Source organism: Homo sapiens, chromosome 8, assembly GCF_000001405.40.
Source record: "Homo sapiens chromosome 8, GRCh38.p14 Primary Assembly".
Classification (NCBI taxonomy): domain Eukaryota; kingdom Metazoa; phylum Chordata; class Mammalia; order Primates; family Hominidae; genus Homo; species Homo sapiens.
Genome location: NC_000008.11, coordinates 29363932 through 29384910, shown reverse-complemented (window position 1 = coordinate 29384910; position 20979 = coordinate 29363932). Strand labels below are relative to the sequence as shown.

General features: G+C 46.7%; 1 long non-coding RNA gene across 1 annotated transcript, besides 3 other annotated features; it reads left to right on the top strand.

The window, feature by feature from the left end:
- Window positions 11041-11130: an enhancer, noted in NCBI's record as "active region_27189". NCBI's record gives its function as "activates an Ori minimal core promoter by ATAC-STARR-seq in GM12878 lymphoblastoid cells {active_cell/tissue: GM12878}" and the evidence as "EXISTENCE:reporter gene assay evidence [ECO:0000049][PMID:35858748]".
- Window positions 11519-16967, top strand: LOC105379349 (uncharacterized). The gene is made up of 3 exons (XR_949623.3): window positions 11519-11657; window positions 12517-12627; window positions 16433-16967. It is a non-coding gene; the product is annotated as an uncharacterized LOC105379349 (long non-coding RNA).
- Window positions 17818-18047: an enhancer, noted in NCBI's record as "active region_27188". NCBI's record gives its function as "activates an Ori minimal core promoter by ATAC-STARR-seq in GM12878 lymphoblastoid cells {active_cell/tissue: GM12878}" and the evidence as "EXISTENCE:reporter gene assay evidence [ECO:0000049][PMID:35858748]".
- Window positions 18983-19483: an enhancer, noted in NCBI's record as "H3K4me1 hESC enhancer chr8:29222945-29223445 (GRCh37/hg19 assembly coordinates)". NCBI's record gives its function as "activates a minimal SCP1, AML or CMV promoter by ChIP-STARR-seq in naive H9 embryonic stem cells {active_cell/tissue: H9 hESC(naive)}" and the evidence as "EXISTENCE:reporter gene assay evidence [ECO:0000049][PMID:30033119]".

The following is a 20979-nucleotide window of genomic DNA, read 5'->3' as shown; positions in this document are numbered from 1 at the left end:
CTGTCACCCAGTCTAGAGTGCAGTAATGTGATCACGGCTCACTGCAGCCTCGAGCTCCTGGGCTCAAGTGAAACTCCTACCTCAGCATCCCAAGCAGCTTTGATCACAAGCACACACCACCACACCCAGCTCATTTTTTAAATTTTTTGTAGAGATGGGATCTCACTATGTTGCCCAGGCTGGTCTTGACCTCCTGAGTATAAGCAATCCCCCTGTCTTGGCCTCCCAAAATGCTGGGATGAGGCGTGAGCCAGCACACCCAGTCTCAATAATAATTTAATTGTACATTTTTAAAATAACTAAAAGGCTGGGCGTGGTGGCTCACATCTGTAATCCCAGCACTTTAGGAGTCTGAGGCGAGTAGATCACCCGAGGTCAGGAGTTCAAGACCAGCCTGACCGACATGGAGAAAACTTGTCTCTACTAAAAATACAAAATTAGCCTGGCGTGGTGGCACATTCCTGTAAATCTCAGCTACTTGGAAGGCTGAGGCAGGAGAATTGCTTGAGTCTGGGAGGTGGAGGTTGCGGTGAGCTGAGATTGTGCCACTTCACTTTAGCCTGGGTGACAGAGGAAGACTTCCTCTCAAAAAAATAAAAAAATTAAAATAAAATAACTAAAAGAGTATAATTGGATTGTTTGTAATGCAAAGGATAAATGCTTGAGGGGATGCATGTCTCATTTACCCTGATGTAATTATTATGCATTGTATGCCTTTATCAAAATATCCCATATACCTCATTAATATAAACACCTACTATTTAAAAATTTTTTAATTAAAAAATTAAAAATCAGAAAATCAGTCTTCAGAAAAAAAGTTCTTTAACAAATTTCAGCAAATGGTTTGTCAAAGTCAAACATTCCCAATGCCACCCGCTACAACCCTGTGAACTAAGTGTGTCTTTTGTGTTGTTGTTGTTGTTGCTTTTGTTTTTGTTTTTGTTTTTGTTTTGAGACAGAATCTTACTGTGTCGCCCAGGCTGGAGTGCAGTGGTAGGATGTCAGCTCACTGCAATCTCTGCCTCCCGGGTTCAAGTGATTCTTGAGCCTCAGCCTCCCAAATAGCTGGGATTACAGGCATGCACACCACACCCAGCTAATTTTTGTATTTTTCATAGAAACAAGTTTTCACCATGTTGGCCAGGCTGGTCTCAAACTCCTGGCCTCAAGTGATCTGCCCACCTCAGCCTCCCAAAGTGCTGGGATTACAGGTGTGAGCAACCATGCCTGGCTGTGAAGTAGATTTTGTTATGCCCCATGTTTACAGGAAGAATGTGAGGCTCAGGGAAGTTTGTGAGCATCATGAGTAAGGATAATTCACAATGACACCCGAGGCCAGGCTGTTGCACAGCCCCAGAGGCCTCAGTCTCTCCTTTGTAATCTGATAAGGACCTATCACTCCGAGGCATTAGGGTAATGGACATCTGGAATATTTTTGATGAAAAACTCAGAGGGAAACCTCTTTGAAAAATTCCTGAGTCTCTCTGTTTTGCTGAATTTCCCTCTTAATGTTAATTTCTACCAGGGGACATTTCTAAAAGAAGGCTGGGAGATGCCTCTGATGATCTTAAAGAATCCTTCAGGTTTCCTCTGGCTTCCACTATTCCGTATCTGTGCTTCCTTATCCCACCCTGTCACGTTCTCCTTTTCATTCCTTAGATATCTTAAGAGGGAAGTGCAGAGGATTCACATTTAGAAATACTATGTGCCTGTCACTCATGTGCACACCCCCACACACATGCACACCCCCACACACATGAACACCCCCACACACATGCACACAAAATTGTATGTGTGTGTATTGGTTTATTTTCTATACATTTGTTTCCTTTAATGCTCACAGTATGCCCTTACAAGATAATGATATTGCCATTCCACAGATGGGGAACAGGAATCTTCAAGAGGTTAAGTAATTTGTCCTTGGTCACTGCTGCATTGCTTTTGCAGTAGTTAACTCACTCTAAAATTAAAGTAAATTACCGCCCTGGCTGGAGTGCAGTGGCACGATCATAGCTTACTGCAGCCTCCAACTCCTGGGCTCAAGCTATCCTCCTGCCCCAGCTTCCAAAGTAGCTGGGACTACAGACATGCACCACCACACCCAGCTAACTTGTTTTGTTTTTTGTAGAGATGGGAACTCACTGTGTTGCCTAGGCTGGACTTGAACTCCTGGGCTCATGCGATCCTCCCTCCTTAGCCTCCCAAAATGCTGGGAGTACAGGTGGGAGCCACTGTATCCAGCCAACTTTAAAAATACGCCCATAAAAACAGTGTGATACTTGTACAAGATGCTTCTAATTTATACACTGCGGGCAGTTAGTGAGCATTCAAGGACAAATCAGGACCTAGCCTTCCAGGAGTGGTTAACAGATGAAGTGACTTAATCAAGGATCAATATCTTCAAAGGTAGTTACTTAGCATTTAAGTTATAGTATGAAAAGCTACACTAGAGAGTTTATTAGCATAAGGGATGCTAGAAATAGTTGTATTGGCTACATGAATAGGTGATTCATTCTAAAAGAGGTCATTGGTTAGAAATATTACACAGCCTCCAGTGGCCTTGCATATTTGAGGCTAAAAAGGCAAGTCAGGCATTTTCATGCCAGGGGACATTCCTATTGATTCTGTCTTTCCCATTCCCTGTGGACCTAACAAAAATGTGCCCTGCACTTCTGAGCAAACCTTCCAGGCAAGGCACCTGTCTGAGTGACACAGGACAGGTTGGGTGACCAGGTTGCAGGACTCTTTATACCAGCTTGCTAATAAATATTTGTATGCTTAGTAGAATTTAGTTGAAGACTCGCTTTCATCGTTATCCACTATTAGGAACATGGCTGAGGAAAGAGACCTCAGCCCACTTATCTCAGAAGGTCGTGGTCTTTGCCAGGTGACCCCTGCTGCTTGCTGAGTGTCTGGACTTGCTTAGGTGTGTCAGCAACAGTCCCACAGCTGGTGAGGGACAAAGGCAGAATTTGGGACCAGCTCCATCTTCTCCAAACCCCAGCTGCCCCTTGAAAGAAAGGATGGTGCTGTTGAGGCTCAGAAACGGATACCTAAAAAACGGCACTTTGACATGCTGGACTACAGAAGCAGCCTCCAGGTCTCTCTGACCTCCCCCTCCTGTCTCTCAATCTTCTCTCTGTCCCAAAGTGCAGGATGAAGCTGTTCTCTGAAGTTCCCTTATCTGCCTAAAGTCTGCACCCACCAAAGAAGAAAACAATCACTTCTGGTCCCTTCCCTGAGTTTTCATTAACCAAGCTCATATCGCAGGAAGAAAGGCTGAAGCTTATCAACACACCTGGACAGACTTGTCACAAACCATTGTCTTCTGCTTCAGTCCCATTCAGTATTTCAAAGAGAATATTTTACCAGCCATTGTCTGCTCTGTGGACCCAACAGACATTGTCCCAGGCCATCGTATGTTCTCCAAGCCCATTGAATTATCCTAAAAATCATTTACTATACCTCTCAAAGCCGTCCACATTTCTCCAGCTTTCCCCTATGAAGGGTATATAAGCATCTGTAACCCATCAGGTTACGGGGTCATTGATTTCCTATGGTTCCCCCCATTGCAGGTTAAAATAAATTCTATATGCCTTTTTTCCTGTGAATCTGCCTCTTGTCAGTTGGTGTTCTGCAAACCTTCAGAGCGTGGCGAGAAAGTTTTCCCTTGGCCCCTGCAGTTTTGGCACTGTGAGCAGGACAACCAAATCCACTCTGCTTTTCTGGAAGCTGCAGTCAAGGGAACCCAGGACCTGACAAGCTGGCAGAAGGGTAAGAAATTCTTACCGGTCAGATTCCTGGTCTCTTTTATGTGGAATCCAGTTGAGCGGATGATAAAAGTCACTGTTTGTCTCTTTTTCTTTTTCCAAGTTTAAGATGAATGGGAGAAAAGTATTTGTGTAACTAGTGTTAGGTTTAGCGACTCTGATGTATTTATTGTTAAGAATATTCATAGTCTGATCTTTTTCCCCCCAGAAATAGTCCTTGTTTTTCCTGTCTTTGTCTTCCTGTGTCATTTTGTCACAAAGAGGGGTATCATAGGGTAGGGCATGAGCCTAATGCCCCTCTAAACCTGTTCCTTGAGCCCTTAAAGATTGATGATTTTTGTTCTCATCAGACTAGCAAATTGTACTGTGGGTCTCTGAGATAAAGATCGGATGAGGTTCACCTCTCATCTTGTTTGATGTCCTTGAGAGCTTGATTTGTGACCAAGTGGGAGCCCCCCACCATCTGCTATCCGAGGGGCATGATTTTCAAGTCATGTCTGGTGGCCAGTCCAAAAGCACTGGGGATGACAAGACATGTTCAAATTTTAAGCAGCACACTCTCTGTTCCTAGCATGCCAAGCTCTGAGGGGAGTTTATCTTAATAGGAGGTCCCCTCCATGAGGGGCTTTTGTTGTCTCAACTCTTGTTGCCTGGTACTCCTGGGAAAGTCCAATCCCAGGAGGGCCCACCTGGGGTCACAGATTAATGGGTCTGCGATTGGCAAGCCCTCCCACCCAACAAGTATGTGGGTCCTGGAGGCACCATATGCACAAACACCATTCTTAACCATCTGTGGCAACAAGAGTCTTTTTGCTAGCTTAGTCTATTTCTGGTAGTGAATTTTCGGAGAATCATGGAGGCTGCATTTTCTGTGACCATTTTTAAAAAATATCACTAACATCCATGATATTCTAAACCTGGAAATTTACCTCTGGGACTTTTTATGAAAAAGGCTCATCGGCTTGAGTCACTTATGGGATAAGTATATGGCCATATATATTTTTAAAACTTTTTAGAGAGCTCACATCTTAAATAGCAATCTTACTGGTACCTATGAAAAGATAGGAAAGAAATACAGCCTTGAAAATTATTTTGGACCAGGCACGGTGGCTCACACCTGTAATCCCAGCACTTTGGGAGGCTGAGGTGGGCAGATCACTTGAGGCCAGGAGTTTGAGACCAGCCTGGCCAACATGGTGAAACCCTGTCTCTACTAAACATACAAAAAGTAGCTGGGCATGGTGGTGCACACTTGTAATTCCAGCTACTCAGGAGGGTGAGGTGGGAGAATCGCTTGAACTTTGGAGGCGGAGGTTGCAGTAAGCCGAGATCACCATTGCACTCCAACTACACTTCAACCTGGGCAAAAGAGCAAGACTCTGCTGGAAAAAAAAAAGAAAGAAGAAAAAGAATTCATTTGGCAAGATTTTTAACAGATTGAAAACAAAGTGGCCAGGCATGGTGGTGCATGCCTGTAGTTGCAGCTACGCAGGAGGCTGAGATGGGCCTTGGGCCCAGGAGGACAAGGCTGCAGTGAGCTGATTGCTCTACTGCACACCAGCCTGGGTGACAGAGTAAGACCTTTCTTAAAAAAAGAAAAAAAAACGTTAAAAATCCCTTGTACACTCACACCGCCTGCTTTGGGTTCCCTGTGGGATTTGCAAAAAAAAAAAAAAAAAAAAGGCACTCACTCTACCCTGTCACTTGCCTAGTAGTTAAGATTCTGCACTTCCACATTGTAGCTTGGGTTTGATTCCAAGTCAGGGAACCAATTTCTGGAAGACGTAAATCCCTTAACTCGGATCAAAACAAAAAACAAAAACAACAACAACAAAAAAGAATTTGTTTGAATTATTTGTTTTGATTATGTATTTGTGTGACTCGACTTTTTGCACTACCCATTTGTTCTTGATCCTCTTCCCTCCTGTGAACAGCTCTTGTCTTCCTGCTCATCTCCAGGTGCCTTTTTTTGTTGTCTTTGTAAGGTGGCTCTGGATCTTGTGAGGACTCCTTCTTTGCACCTCTTTGGAGATGGCTCATGCATCCTTGGTTGTCATACAGGCTTATTGGTTTGGTTGAGTCACTTGGTAGGCATATTTGATTCAAAAGGAAAGAAAAAAGGCTGGGTGTGATGGCTCGTGCCTATAATCCCAGCACTTTGGGAGGCCAAAACAGGTGGATCACTTGAGTTCAGGAGTTTGAGAGCAGCCTGGACAACATGGTGAAACCCTGTCTCTACTAAAAATACAAAAATTAGCTGGTCTTGGTGGTGCATGCCTGTAATCCCAGCTACTTGGGAGGCTGAGGCAGGAGAATCATTTGAACCCAGAAGGCGGAGGTTGCAGTGAGCTGAGATTACGCCACGGCACTCCAGCCTGGGCAACAGAGTGAGATTCCATCTCAAATAAATAAATAAATAAATAAACTGTGTTGGGTTGTGGGGTAATCACACTCTTTTTTTTTTTTTTTTTTTTTTTTTTTTTGAGACGGAGTCTCGCTCTGTCGCCCAGGCTGGAGTGCAGTGGCGCGATCTCGGCTCACTGCAAGCTCCGCCTCCCAGGTTCACGCCATTCTCCTGCCTCAGCCTCCCGAGTAGCTGGGACTACAGGCGCCCGCTACCACGCCCGGCTAATTTTTTGTATTTTTAGTAGAGACGGGGTTTCACCGTGTTAGCCAGGATGGTCTCGATCTCCTGACCTCGTGATCCGCCCGCCTCGGCCTCCCAAAGTGCTGGGATTACAGGCGTGAGCCACCGCGCCCGGCCGGGGTAATCACACTCTTGTGATTCCCTGTGCTTCCTCCTACCCATGCACATTAAAATAAATTTGTATGCCTTTCCTCCTATTAATCTGCCTTATTTCAGTTGATTTTTCAGCAAATCTTCAGAGGGCAAAGGGATAGTTTTCCTTTGGCCCCGACAAAGCCAGCAAAAGGAAACATTTGAGGCCATCAGTTCTGTTAGGCAACAAGTAGGAAAAAAGAAAGTCTTTTTTATTGACTGAACGATCTTTAATCTTCAAGATCTTCCATAAAGTAAATCCTTCAAAATCCTATTCGTGTCATATCTTCTTCAAAGGTCAGGCTGAATATATAAACCACTTTAAGTCCTAACAGGAAATAAACGACGTTTACACTAAAATATGTACTCAGATATTTTATACGAAATTCAGTACAGGGCCATAAAATGAGAGAGTGGGGAAAGCCATGGCCCCAAGGTTCTCAATGTTCCTTTGCAAAAGGTCAACTTTATTATTATTCTGGTGTCCTGGGCCCAGCCAGGGAAGTGCACCCTCTGTTTCATGTGGTAAAACTCCAGGCTGCTGCTTTTTCAAGCAATCAGATTGTCCAGATCATCAACAAGGACTTATTTTTAGACCTGCAAGGATGAGAATTTCCTACCCTTCTATCACCCATTGAAGGCGATGGGGCCTTGTTTGTGAGTTTATCAACAAGGATATAAAACAGAAAATCTTCCAGGTTTTTTTTTTTCCACCCACACTGACATATTGACAGAAAACATTTCTGAATTGGACCCAGAAAGAGAAAACATGAGCAGGAAAATCGCCTCAATGGCAATGACTGTTGAATTGTAGCCTTTAATCTTTTCTTTTATCCTTTTCTTTTCTTTTCCTTTCCTTTTCTCTACTCTTCTCTTTTTGAGTCAGAGTCTCACTCTGTCACCCAGGCTGGAGTGCAGTGGCATGATCTCGGGTCACTGCAACCTCCATCTCCAGGGTTCAAGTGATTCTCCTGCCTTAGCTTCCCGAGTTTCTAGGATTACAGGTGTCCCTGCCACCATGCCCGGGTAATTTTTGTATTTTTAGTAGAGACAAGGTTTCACCATGTTGGCCAGGCTGGTTTCAATCTCCTGACCTCAGATGATCTACCCACCTCGGCCTCCCAAAATGCTGGGATTACAGATGTGAGCCAATGCACCCAGCCAGGTGAATTTCTTGATCCTAAATGGGAGAAGTGCTGTGCTTGGTTCTATCAGTATACAGGAATAAGAGGAATAAGGTATGGGGTTTGGGGGCAGGAGAGAGAACCCCTCTTATTCTTTATTCTGGAAACTGTCAACCTCCTGGTCCTTATCTCCAGCCCCATCCCCCAGACATTCCTCCCTATTTAACATTTTCCTTTTGTCCCTATATCCTGGAAGGTTTGTTTTTCCAGGAAGTAAGGATAATCTGGAAGCAAGAGGACCAAGTGGATTCCACAGTGGGCAGTCTGCTAACTCCTTTTCATTCATTCATCACACACATTCTGAACATTTACGTGCTGGGCTCTGTGGTTAGCACTGTGGCTCTGGTGTGAACCAACTCCTACATCTTCCCTAACACTCAGCCTTTCTCCTAGCAGGATGACTGGGACTGATACCCCTAAGCCCTTGAACTAGGATAGCAGAGTTCTGCATACTCCTCTTCCTGACCTTTCATCCATTCAACCAAGACTTACTGATCACCTGCAATGTTCAAAACACTGAGAGTATGCAGGCGAATCAGGTAAGCATCTTGTCCTCACTGTCTAGAAGGGAAGATGCTCATATAAAAAATAAAATGCATGCTGGCACAGTGGCTCACGCCTGTAATCCCAACACTTTGGGAGGCCAAGGCGGGTGGATCACTTGAGGTCAGGAGTTCGAGACCAGACTGGCCAACATGGTGAAACCCTGTCTCTACTAAAAATACAGAAACTAGCCAGTCGTGGTGGCGGGCACCTGTTGTCCCAGCTACTGAGGAGGCTGAGGCAGGAGAATCGCTTGAACCCACGAGGCAGAGGTTGCAGTGAGCCAAGATCATGCGACTGCACTCCAGCTTGGGTGACAGAGGGAGGGTTCGTCTCAAAAAATAAAAATAAAATACAAATCTAGATTGTTTCCAATTTGGAGGTATTATTTTAAAAAGCTACAATGAATGTACCTGTATGATTTTTTGTGGACATATGTTTTCATTTATCTTAGGTAAATACAGCATCCAAAGGACTGTTATTGGATGAATAGATAAATTGTAGTATATTCATTTATTCAATGAAATATTATTCTGAAATAAAGAGGAAAGAACAACTAATATTTGCAGCAATGTGGAAGAATTCCAGAAACGCTGTGATGAGCAAAGGAAGCCAGGCACAAAAGAGTTCATTCTGTATGATTCTATTTATATAAAGTTCTAGAACAGGCAAAACTGATCTGTGTTGAGAGAAAGTAGGACAGTGATTGCCTGTGGCAGGGGGCATTGACTGGAAAAGATGCATGAGGAAAGGTCTATATCTTATCCGGGGTGCTGGTGGCACAGATGTACACATTTGTCAAATCTTACCACATCGCACACTTAAAATCCATTCATTTTGTTATATGTAAATTACACCTTAATAAATATTTCATTAGAAAAACAAATCTGCACAGGGTTTATTTGTATCGGGAACAAACATGGCAAAAGTTAGGATCTGGCAGTTAGGAGGTGGTTACGTATGCATTTGTTATTTGTTGTATTATTTTTGTGCTTTTCTGTATGCTTGAAACAAGTCCTAATAAAAATATTTTAAAAGTTTAAAATAGAAATACAGAATAATCAAATCCCAAGTTAGAAAAGATCTTAATGTTCATTTAGTCCAACTTCCAATTTTGAGCTTGCATTCCATTAAAACATCCCTGGTAGGTGGTCTTCCAGACTGGATGGGAACTCACTGAAGGAGAGTGCTTCCTACCTCCTAGGGCAGCATATTCCAAAACTAGCATGGTGAGTGCGGCAGGCAGACAGGTACAGGGATAGGATGCTATGGAAACTCAAGGGGAGAAGGAAGCACCTGCCCTCCTTAAAAGCAGATGGACTCCAGAACCACCAGGAGCTGGCACTGGAGATGTAATAGGCAGCAAAACTGACCCATCCTTGCAAGCGGCAGAGCTGCGGCTGATAGTTTGATACTACTTAAAGGTCTTGTTCTTTCTTCTCTAACACTTTCCATGTCTACTAGCACTGAACTAGCTTCAGGGCTTTTAGGAGTAGATCAAGGAGGGAGACAGCGACCTTGGAGCCAGGCCTGTTAAGAGTCAGAGCTGGGAGGCCAGGCCGGACGCTGGGCACATACTGAGAGGGGCCCCCTCCCTTCTATCCAGAACAGGAGTAAGGTAAAAAGGACATTCTGGAAACCGTGGTGCAAGCTATCAAGGAATTTTCTTAATGGCAACATTGACCACCCAGCCAAAGAGTAGGGGCAGGCCAGCTCTTCCACGACATCACAGGACAGAAGCGGCTCTGCCTGCTGGCCTTCCTCCTGCCAGGGCTTCACCATCACTGGGGAAAGCAGGGCTCCGGGGACCCTGTGACCCTGGTTGGACCTATTTCAACCTCTCCCTGTGCAGGATGAGGTCCAAGGGCAAGCTGCAGATTGGCTTTCCTATCACTTAGGGTTCTCAGGTTGCCAGCAACAGAAAACAACTTAATCTAGGCAAGAAAATGAACGTATGAGACAGATACAAGTAGTTCCCAGAGTAGCAGAAAGAACTGAATAACCAGGCTTGGAGGGACAGGAATCACGGCCAGCTGGGATCTGAGGAGCACAATCACATGGATGGTCCTATTGGGACAAATTCATGCCAGCTGTTCCCATGTCTGCTCAAGAGAAAGAGAGTCTGATAGGCTGGCCTGGGGGCATGGGGGTATCCATTGTAGGCAGGCATTTTGATTGGCAATTCCACCAAGACCAGAGATTTCTCCAAGGGAAAATGATGGTGCAGTGGCCAGAAGAAGTGCTGGGCAGGTGAAATGCCCAAAATACTTCCAGTGCCCTCAGTGTCTAATTTGTGTCCTCATCTGCTACAGGGCATTTGCAAGGCACTGCGATACCACAGAGCAACATGGCGCACTGAGCCCGAATGGCCCAACTAACCTCAAGGCTCCCCCAGGGCCCTCTCTCCTGTTTGTATCCCAAATAGCCCACCAAAGACCTGGATAGTGTGGAGTTCTGAATGAACTCTCCAAATCCACCAGACAAATTATTGTCCACAATGTGAGCTTCCCAGGATGTCCGTTTTGGCCCAACCTAAGCTCAAATTGCGTGGGAGATTTTTCTAAGCAAACCCCACGCTGACTCTTCCTGAGTCACCTCTGTCTCTGTCTGGCTGAGCACGTCCAGGTCTTCCTTTGCAAGCTCTGCCAAAAACCAGGCTTTAGGGAAGTCTGTTCCTTTTGGAGGCTGTGATGTGAGCCAGGCAGGTAGAAGAGGCCCACAGCTCTGGATCTAATCTTGGCCTTCCATATAATTTGTACTGACTCCAGGGGTGGCCAGGACCAGGAGGCAAGATAAGGTAGCCCAGGCAGCACAGGGTCTGGAGTGGAGGCAGGGCACAGGATGGGGATGCCCCATGGGACAACCTCAGCTTCAGGCTGCATAGAATTTTCACGAATCTGGTTAGCATCACTCATTCATTCACTAGAAACATGTGATCCTCAAGTGCAGGGTTTCTCATTCATTTTTTTCGCTGCTGTGGCTCCACTGCCCAGAGCAGCACCCAGCCCTTCTGGGAGTCACTATGTCTTTGTAGCATGAATGCATAATAACATGGCGTTATCTTCTTTGCAAAACCACGGTGGGATCCTCTTCCCCACCGGCCGGGACTGCCTGTGGAAAGGGGCTCCGAAAGCCCCCCTTCTGCTAGGTTCCGGCCATCAGAGGCAGCCGTGTGACCCAGGCAGGCAGCTGGCCAGCGGCTCTGCAGTACTCAGGGCTGAGGATGAGTCAGGAGTTCCTCCGCCCTCAGTACTAGGCTGAAGAGGCTGTGACGCGCCCGGTGGCCCCTCTGGGCAGTGGCTGGCAGCAGAAACACACACGCAGCAGACACACTCGGCTTCCTCGCCTGGAGAGCCGGGAGAGAGCAGTCTCTTCTGTTATGTAAGAGACAGAAGGGGGACTGGGGGGCCTGCGGCTGCACAGGGCCTGCTCCCACTCGGCCTTCTTCCTGAGATCCTTTTCTTCCTTTCACTCCAGCGGATGTGATGAGGAGGAGAAGGGAAGCCTCCTGCCGAGAGCAGCTCCATTCGCTGAGCCCCGGCCCCTTACGGGCTACAAGGGCACTCATCTCCCACTCTCCCTGATCAAGGCCACAGCCTGCAGCGGCTGTCTGGGAAGCACCCTTAGCAAGGGCCCTGCTTGCCACACCCCTGGGCAGTTAGCACCCGGCCTGCCCACTCTGCACCCCTGGCGCTGGGGGCCCGCACCTCCCTGCAGCCTCTCCACTTCCTTCCCTTCTCCTCCTCCCCGGGATTTCCATGGTCAGGAAGGATTTCCCCTGGGTAACCAACTGTCTCTGGGTACAAAGAACTGCCTGTGAAGGCCATCTCCCCAACAGCCTATCAGAGCTCACCTCCTGCTCACCCCTGGGCCGGTCACAGAGGCTTGCTGCGTCTCTGAAGGGCTATCCACGGCCCTTCCACCTGTGCACATCAGTGAGCACTGTGGAGGTTTCAAGAGTCTCTGGGGCGAGCCCACCTGAGCTTACCACCTGCAAGCTCCTACCAGAGAACCTCAGGGAGTGACCTAAGCTGTGCGTTCCTCACTGTCCTCATCTGTAAATTGGGAGCAATCGCATGGTCCCCGTCATAGATCTGTGGTGAGGATCAACTGGGTTCGGGTATCACTTAGAACAGCTGCTGGCAGATAGCAAAGGCATAAGAAACATTCACACCTGTCCTCATCCTACCTGCCCTTCAGGGCCTACCTGGAAGTCTCATCTGGTCTTTCTCTTCTCCAGACTCCCAGTGTACTTCCATCTGCAGCACACAGGACATCACAGATTGTCAACGCTGTCACACAGTACTGCTCTGGTTATTCCTCGTGGTTATCTTTGCTCCTCAGGGAGATGGTGAGTGTCCAGCTCCATGGAAGTCCTCTTGAGCTTGCCAGGTACACAGACCCCCTGCGAGTCTCTGTAAACTTGGGCATTCTGTGTGCTGGGCTCTTGATTTCTTGCAAACTGATTTCAGAATTCACTTATATAAATTTTTTTTTATTTTACTTTTTCTTTTTTCTGTTTATTTAGAGACAAGTTCTCCCTCGGCTGCCCAGACTAGAGTGCAGTGGTGTGATCATAGCTCACTGAAGCCTCAAACTCCTAGGCTCCAGAGATCCTCCCACCTCAGCCTCCTGAGCAGCTGAGACTACAGGCATGCACCCCCACACCTGGCTAATTTTTTAATTTTTTGTAGAGACGGGTCTCACCATGTTGCCTAGGCTGGTCTCAAACTCCTGAGCTCAAGCAAACCTCCCATTTCGACCTTCCAAAGTGTTGGAACTCCAGGTGTGAGCCACCACACCCGGCCCACTTATAGGTTTTTTGAGCTATAATCGCCACTGCACTCCAGTCTGGGCGAAAGACTAAGACCTTTTCTCTTTTCAAAAAAAAAAAAAAAAATATATATATATATATATATATGTAGGTTTTTCATATTTTCATATTTAAGTGCAAACAAGCAAGGCCTATTTTTCAGGAACCTATTACGTGGTAAGTACTATGAGGATGAAAAGACTCATCAATATATCTGCTCAGTTCCAGCCAGAAACCTGTGAGTTACCCAGGCCTGCCCTCCGCTAGTCCCCATCTCCAGCAGTCACTGAGCCCTGTGGCTCCCACCACATCCTTCCCCTCCTGAACTTCCTCTCAGCCACTGCCCTCATCTTGGCCCCCCGTTTCTTGCCGAAACCATGGCAGAAACCCCCTACTGGTCTCTCTGCCTCTAGTCTCTAACCCTAAGACCCCAGAAGTATCTTCCCCAAATACAGTTTAGATCCCGACACTCTTTCATCTCACGCACAGGTGGAATCTAAAAAAGTTGAACTCTTAGAAGCAGAGAGCAGAATGGTGGTGACCAGGGACTGAGGGCTGGGGGAACGGAGTGGGAAGATGTTGGTCAAAGCACACAAAATGTCAGTTACACAAGAGGAACAAGTTCAAGAGACCTATGGTACAACACGGCACGATAGTTAAAACAACGTGTATTGTGGTCTTGACAATCACTAAAAATGTAGATGAGTGTTCTCACTACAAAAAGTAATAAGTATGTGAGGTAATGTATATGTTAATTATCTTAATTTAACACACAAGGCATACATACTTTTTTCGGTGTTTTATTTTGTTTTGTTTTAGACAGGGTCTCACTCTGTTGCCCAGGCTGGAATGCAGTGGCGCCATCCTGGCTCACTGCAGCCTCGAACTCCCGGGCTCAAGTGATCCTCCCACCCCAGCCTCCCCAGTAGCTGGGACTACAGGTGCACACCACCATGCCTGGTTAATTTTTTTGTATTTTTTTGTAGAGATGGAGTTTTGCCATCTTGCCCCAGGCTGGTGTCAAACTCCTGGGCTCAAGCGATCCTCCTGCCTCGGTCTCTCATAGCGCTGGGATTAGAGGCGTAAGTAAGCCACCACGTCAGGCTGGCATACACATTTCAAAACATTGTGTTGTACACCATAAATATATACAATTTTTATTTGACTACTTAAATAATTAATTAATTATTTTTAAAAAGACTCCCAGCATTTCCTGTGGTCTCTGGGATAAAAGTTCAATTTCCACACAAGTCTACAACCTTAACAGCCTCAGCCCCCACCTCCCTCCACTGCATGAATTCCAGACATCCCCCATTTTGTGCCTGGACACACTCTCTTTCTTCCACTGAGAACAACTTTCTTCCCTTACTCTACCTGGCAGCCACCACCCTTCCTTTACAACCAACTCAAATGCCACTTCCCTGGGCTTCCACAAAGTTTGTCTCTGCCTCTTCATGCTCCCACAGAACTTAGTACAATCCTGTATTAGAATACCTGCCACTCGGAATTATCATTGTTTGCAGAAGAATTTCCTCTGCTGGGGAGTGGCTAGGCCTTGTTCATCTGGCACCCATCCCTAGCCTGTAGGAAACGATCAAGAAATACAGGAATGACTTCATGCAAATAGCACTGGAAACTCAAGGACTTACCTCCCATTTTTCTCTTGCCATTTTCAGCAATACTGAACAGAAGAGTGGTTTATAATCACTGTCTCCAACTCTGCTTCTCCCATCTTTCTTGAGTCCACCCCAACTGTTTATCTGCACTACTTCTCTCCAAGGGCACTGGTGACCTCCACATTTTTTAACCCAGTGGTCAGACGTCGGTCCTCCTCTTCCACAGTTGATCCCTCCTCTGCCTGGTCACTTGCTCCTCTGGCGTTCTTTCCCATCTGCTCTCATCAGTGGCTTCTCAGACTTCTTTCTAACTCTCCCTCATCTCCCTAAACTCCTAATGTTAGAGAGTTTCAGAGCTTGATCCTGGGGTCTTTTCCCTATCTATTTTTTTTAGAGACAAGGGTCTCACTGCATTGCCCTGGCTGGAGTGCTGCAGCACCATCATAGTTCACTGTAGCCTGGACCTCCGGGACTCAAGTGATCTTCCCACCTCAGCCTCCTGAGTAACTGGGACTACAGGTGTGCGCCACTATACCCAGCTCTTTTCTCTCTTCCATCTGCACTCACTGTCTTGGTTATCACATGCAGATACATGACATTAAGTGTTATCTCTATGTGGATTATCCCCAAATTTACGACCCCTGCCTATTCTCCTCTCTTGAACCTAAAGCTCCTATGTGCAACTGTACACTCCACGTGACCACTCCACCTCTCAAGCTTGTTCAGCTGAATTCCTGACCCTCCCCTACCCTCCCCAACACCTCTTCTCCAGCAGTCTTCCTCGTGTCAGTGAATTGCAGCTCCCATCTTCTGGCTGCTCAGCTCAGACATCTTAAGTTAGCTTTTGGTTCTTTTTTACTCTTAAGACCTCACCCCCATCCATCGCCAAATTCTGTCACTCTACCTGCAACTTATCTGCAGACCTGGCTAGTCTCACCTGGACTGTTTCAGCAGGCTCCCAACTGGCTTTCCCACTTTGGCCTTTGTCCCCTACAGTCAATTCTCAACATGGTGGCCTGATTGATCCTGGAAAATCCAATCCAGCTCATGTCACTCTTCCGTGCAAAACTCTCCAAAGGCTTCCATCACCCAACGGCCAATGAAGCCCCAGGTGATCTGGTCCCTACCGCCTCTCTGGCACCACATACTCCCCTTCTCTCCCTCCTGGACTCAGCACCAGCTACTTTGGCCTCCTTGCTGTTGTTCAGACAGGCCAGGCACACTCCTGCTGAGCTGACCATTGCACACATGGTCCCCTCAGCCCAGCATGCTTCCCAAAGGATGCAGGACTCACTCCTCCACCACCTTCCAGTCTTCCCCAACCACCTTTATAATATTTGTAATTTACTTTAAAATACTTCAGTACAATCAGTAGGACATTATGTATGTGCCAGCTCACTGAAGCTTTAATTCTAGAGCCGGTCAGCCAACATGCAATGGAGAAATCACAGTTCAGCTGGCCCTCAAAAGACCACCCTCCAAAAGCTGCTAAATCTGAAGTTTCTATCATCTGCATCTCAAGCAACAACCAATACTTTGCTAATTAACACATTAAATTTTTTTTAAATGTCTTTATTGGCAAAACTAGCAATATGCTAAATAATGCGGTGAAAGTTAAAATCAAGGTAAAATTAGAATTTTTTTTTTTGGATTGGCTCAAATCATTGATTGACTACAATTATTTACAGACAACGCTCACTCTTTTTTTTTTTTTTTTTTTTTTTTAGACGGAGTTTCGCTCTTGTTGCCCAGGCTGGAGTGCAATGGCGTGATCTCAGCTCACTGCAACCTCTGCCTCCCAAGTTCAAGAGATTCTCCTGCCTCAGCCTCCGGAGTAGCTAGGGTTACACACCACAACACCCAGATAATATTTGCATTTTTAGTAAATACAAGGTTTCACCATGTTGGTCAGGCTGGTCTCAAACTCCTAACCTCAGGTGATCCACCTGCCTCAGCCTCCCAAAGTGCTGGGATTATAGACGTGAGCCACCACGCCCAGCCCAGACAACCCCTACTCTTACATAAATGGGCATAAGAATTACACAAGGCTTATAACCTGTATTCATCAGGAGAGACTTGAGGCCTAATCCGCCCTGTGTCCATCTGTTGGTTTGAAAGAATGTGTGACTACCTGATCCCAATTACAAGGCCAGAACCTCAGAAATGTAGAGAGTGATGAGAATTCAGAACAGGTTGTATTAACAATTTGTGGTCTGCTTTACTAATAATCATTTGGTTAATAAATACAGAAGCAGAATTCCATTTGAGATGTGCTTTGATTATTCCCCGATGGTGGCATTATGGCTGAGTGGCTCATGATCTCACCTACCTCAAACTCCTTAGTGTCTACTACTATTTACTAAAAACAGCTTAAGAATTACACATACCCAAACTGGCTTAGGTTAAGCTCCCGAGACCTTCCTATTCAAAACTGGAAGCATTTTCCCACACTCCCTACCCCTGTTCCACTTCGTTCCCAGCCTGTCACCATCTAACACACCATGTGTATAACTTCTTGTGTTGTGGATTGTCTGTCTCTACCCATAGATGATGTAAGCTCCATGAGGTCAGGGATTTGTGTCTATATTTGTTTGCTTTGCTCAATACCACAACCCAGTGCAAATAACAGAGCCTAGTGGAATAACAATGGCTCAGCCAGGTGTGGTGGCTCATGTTTATAACCCCAGCACTTTGGGAGTCTGAGACAGAAGGTTCACTTGAGCCAAGGAATTTGAGACTAGCCTGGGAAACATAGCAAGACCCCATCTCTATAAAAAAAAGAAATTAGCTGAGTATGATGGTGCTTGTTGGTAGTCCTAGCTACTCAGAAGGCTGAAGTGGGAGGATGGCTTGAGCACAGGAATTCGAAGCTGCAATGAGCTATGAGCTATAAGCACACCACCACTGCACTCTAGCCTGGGTGACAGAGTGAGACCCTGTCTCAAAGAAACAAAAACAAAAAATAATGTCTGAGTATTTGTTAAATGAATGTATAAAAGAAGATGAGGGATCACTGCAAGAGAACAGATGGAACGCTGAAAACATTCAAAAGCAACTCCTTGGCTGGAATATCAAGAAAATATAGAATGTGGTCATGTCACGGAACAAAGATAACCAGTGCAGTCTCAATTACAGACACAAACTTATCATTTGCCCAGTAAGGAGAGTCACATCCTTTAAGAAAAGTCAGTGAGTCTCCTTGAACTGAAAGTGAAAGAGAAAGACATAATGTGGAAAAGAAGTTTTGTCCAAATTTCCAATTGATTCAGAAGTGAAGTTCGAAGTCTCTCTTGAGATGGGTTCTTACTTTTGTTTTGCATCATTGAGACGTGGGGCAATTCTCAAGCAGATCCAGGATTTGCATAAGGCTTCCGGGGAGCATGCTGGAGATAACATTGAGGGCAGATTCGCACATGCATGCTCCAAGCTGGGCAAAATCTTCCTTGAAGTATCCCAAGAGGCCCAGGAAAAGGGCAACTGGGGCAGAGAAAACAGTGTGAACCAAAGCATTCAGGAGATAGAGCAGAGAATGCAGCCAGGAAGACAGGTGGTTCAAGGGAGCTGAGCAAGGGGTGATTCCAGATGAGGGGTGGGAGATGTTAGGAAGGGAGGTCAAGGTCCCACTGTAGATCCCATGAATGTGGGAGGCAATGGAGAGTCCTAAAACATTTGCAATCAGGAAATAGAATTGGAGTTGTGAAACTGGGGGCAAGAGGGCTGGTTTGGAGGCTGGTGTGGTATTCCAGGTAAGAGGTAGTGAAAGCCTAGACTCAGAGCCAGTAGACAGACATGCCAGCTGCAAGGGAGGGGGCCAAAGAAGAGGAAGGAGGAATCACAGATGGCTCTGGGACAGGCCGCTGTCAATCTGAAGTCCACCAATATGTATGCTTCTCCACGCAGTCACTCTCTCAGGTGGTAAGGCTGTGGCTCAGCCAGGAAGCATGCTGAACTTCACAGGGGTAGGTTGGTGGCCTGGAGGGATTAACCTGGTTTGGATTAGCTGGTCACTGGGTGGAGGGAGAGGGAAGGAAGGGCAGGAAATGCAAATCCCAGTGGTCAGTGGTCAGTGTAAGCAACTCCAACACTGGGTGTCACTCTGGGGGTACAGAAGCTGGTGGTTCAGCCCCCCTTATTTAGGAGGTGGGATTTAGTCCCCCCCGAGGAAAGTCCTGACCACCAGACCCAGCCAAGGAAATAAGATACAGGCAGCAAGAACCCAGGCCCAGAGGGGATGGAGCAGAAATTAGAAAATCATGGTGAAAGGTCAGGCCTGGGCCCTGCCTGGGCAGACCCAGTGTAAGGCTACCAGACCCATGCAGGGCTTAGCAGCTGGGGGGGAAAGAGCTCCAGGCACTCAGCCAGGCTTGGCTGAGGGGCAGTGGGGCTAAGTGCCTTCAAGGAAAAGCGGTGGAAGGCTGGGAAGCTTACTTCCAATCCCACATTCCCTTCCCCACTCCCTGGCAAAGCTTCCTGCAGACAATTGGGCTATGGACTGGCCAATGATGACTTACCCTTTGTCTATGTCCTGTTGTATCGGGAAGAAGGGGTGCTTCTGAGTGCACAACACCCAAACAGTTCTAACACAGCTGCCTCTGCCAAGCAAAATGGACTTGCTTCTCTGTCACCTCTTCCTCTTTGTGCACCTTCTGGAGAAGGTGGAAACCAGCCATTAAAGGGCAGGAAAAGGCAAGACAGGGAAGCCAGGGAGAATACGGCCACCAGCAGGGCAGCTTACCCCAGGCAGTGCCGGGTCAAACACGTGCAGCTGCCCTTTGCCTGGCTGGCTCTTCTCCACTCCCCCATCATTCTTCTCTCAGAAGGTGTTGCTGCCCAAAGTGCCCCAGATGCCGCTGCCCCTCAGGGCCCTGGACCTCAAGGAAGCCCCCACTCTCAGCAGCACAGAGCCATGGGGGAGATGTGTGGATGGCACTTGGTGCACCGATTCCAGCAGCTCTGCATCCTCCTTTAGAGAGAGAAGCTCCGGGGACGTCCTCCACACACTGCCTTCTACAGCAAAGGAGGGTCACGTTCTTCCAACTAACCTGGCACTCTCCCTCTTCTTCCCCACCTTCTTCAACTGCTCTTAGCAATTTTTTCTGACTCTCCTGACAAATAAACAGGTCACCTTACCCAGCCTGGGGAATTGCTAATCACTAGAATCCAACAGCTAGTGCAAGTGGCATTTGCCTCAGCCCCAATTCAAGGCTGGAGGGCTACTATTTCAGGCTTCAGCCTCTCTTGCATCCTCACCAGATCTCTGCCCCATCCTCTGCTTGTCTTGGGGCATGTACCTCTGGCGGATGGAGGCCCCTAGTCCTCCCTCAACCCCAAGCTCAGCAGGGTAAGGAGCTGCTGCTGTGGAGAAGGTTTGGGAGGGGTGAGAACAAGCAGGAAGCTGGCTCAGCTGTGCCTGCAGGAATCTAGAAGAGATGAGGGCCCCAGGAGACTGAGATCTTCCCTAGTGATTCAAAGATGTCGTGAGATGGGCACAAGACATTGACCCAGGAGACAGTTGCTCACCTTATCAGAAATAGATGCATCTGTCTGACCCCTGAACAGGTAAGTCCTTGGAGACCTCAGAGAAGTGAAGACACATTCCTGAGCCAGAGTCAAGGTAAGAAAATTGGGTATTGAGCCAGACACCATGCTAGACTGTTTTATATCATCTCATTGAATCCTCAGGCTTACCCTCAGGTGGCCTATTTTGTCCCCATTTCAAGGCAGAGAAAACTGGAGATCAGAGACATTAAGTAACTGACCTAAGGCCACATAGCTGGAAAGGTCAGAGCTAGGGTCCAAACCCAGCCTTGGCTGACTCTAGAACATGTAGTCAAGCTCTTTTCAGCCTTGGCTTACTCTCTCTACTGCACAGAACTGCCTTCATTGCTGCCAAGTTCAAGCCTCTTTCTGGGAAAATAGCAAAAGTTCCGTTATGTCCTCTCCAAATTCATATATAGAGGTCCTAACTCCTGGTATTTCAGAATGTGAAGTGTTTGGAGATAAAGTCTTTAAAGACGTAATTAAGTTAAAAAGAAGTCATCAGGATGAGCTTTAATCCAATATGACTGATGTCCTTATAAGAAGAGAAGATTAGGACACAGACACAGACAGAAGACAGACACAGACAGAAGACCAGAGAGAAGACAGCCTTGTGTAAGCCAAGGAGAGGGGACTCAGAAGAAACCAATCCTGTGACATCTTGATCTTGGACTTCTAGCCTCCAGGACTGTGAGAAAATAAATTTTTGTTGTTTAAGCCACACAGTCTGTGGCAC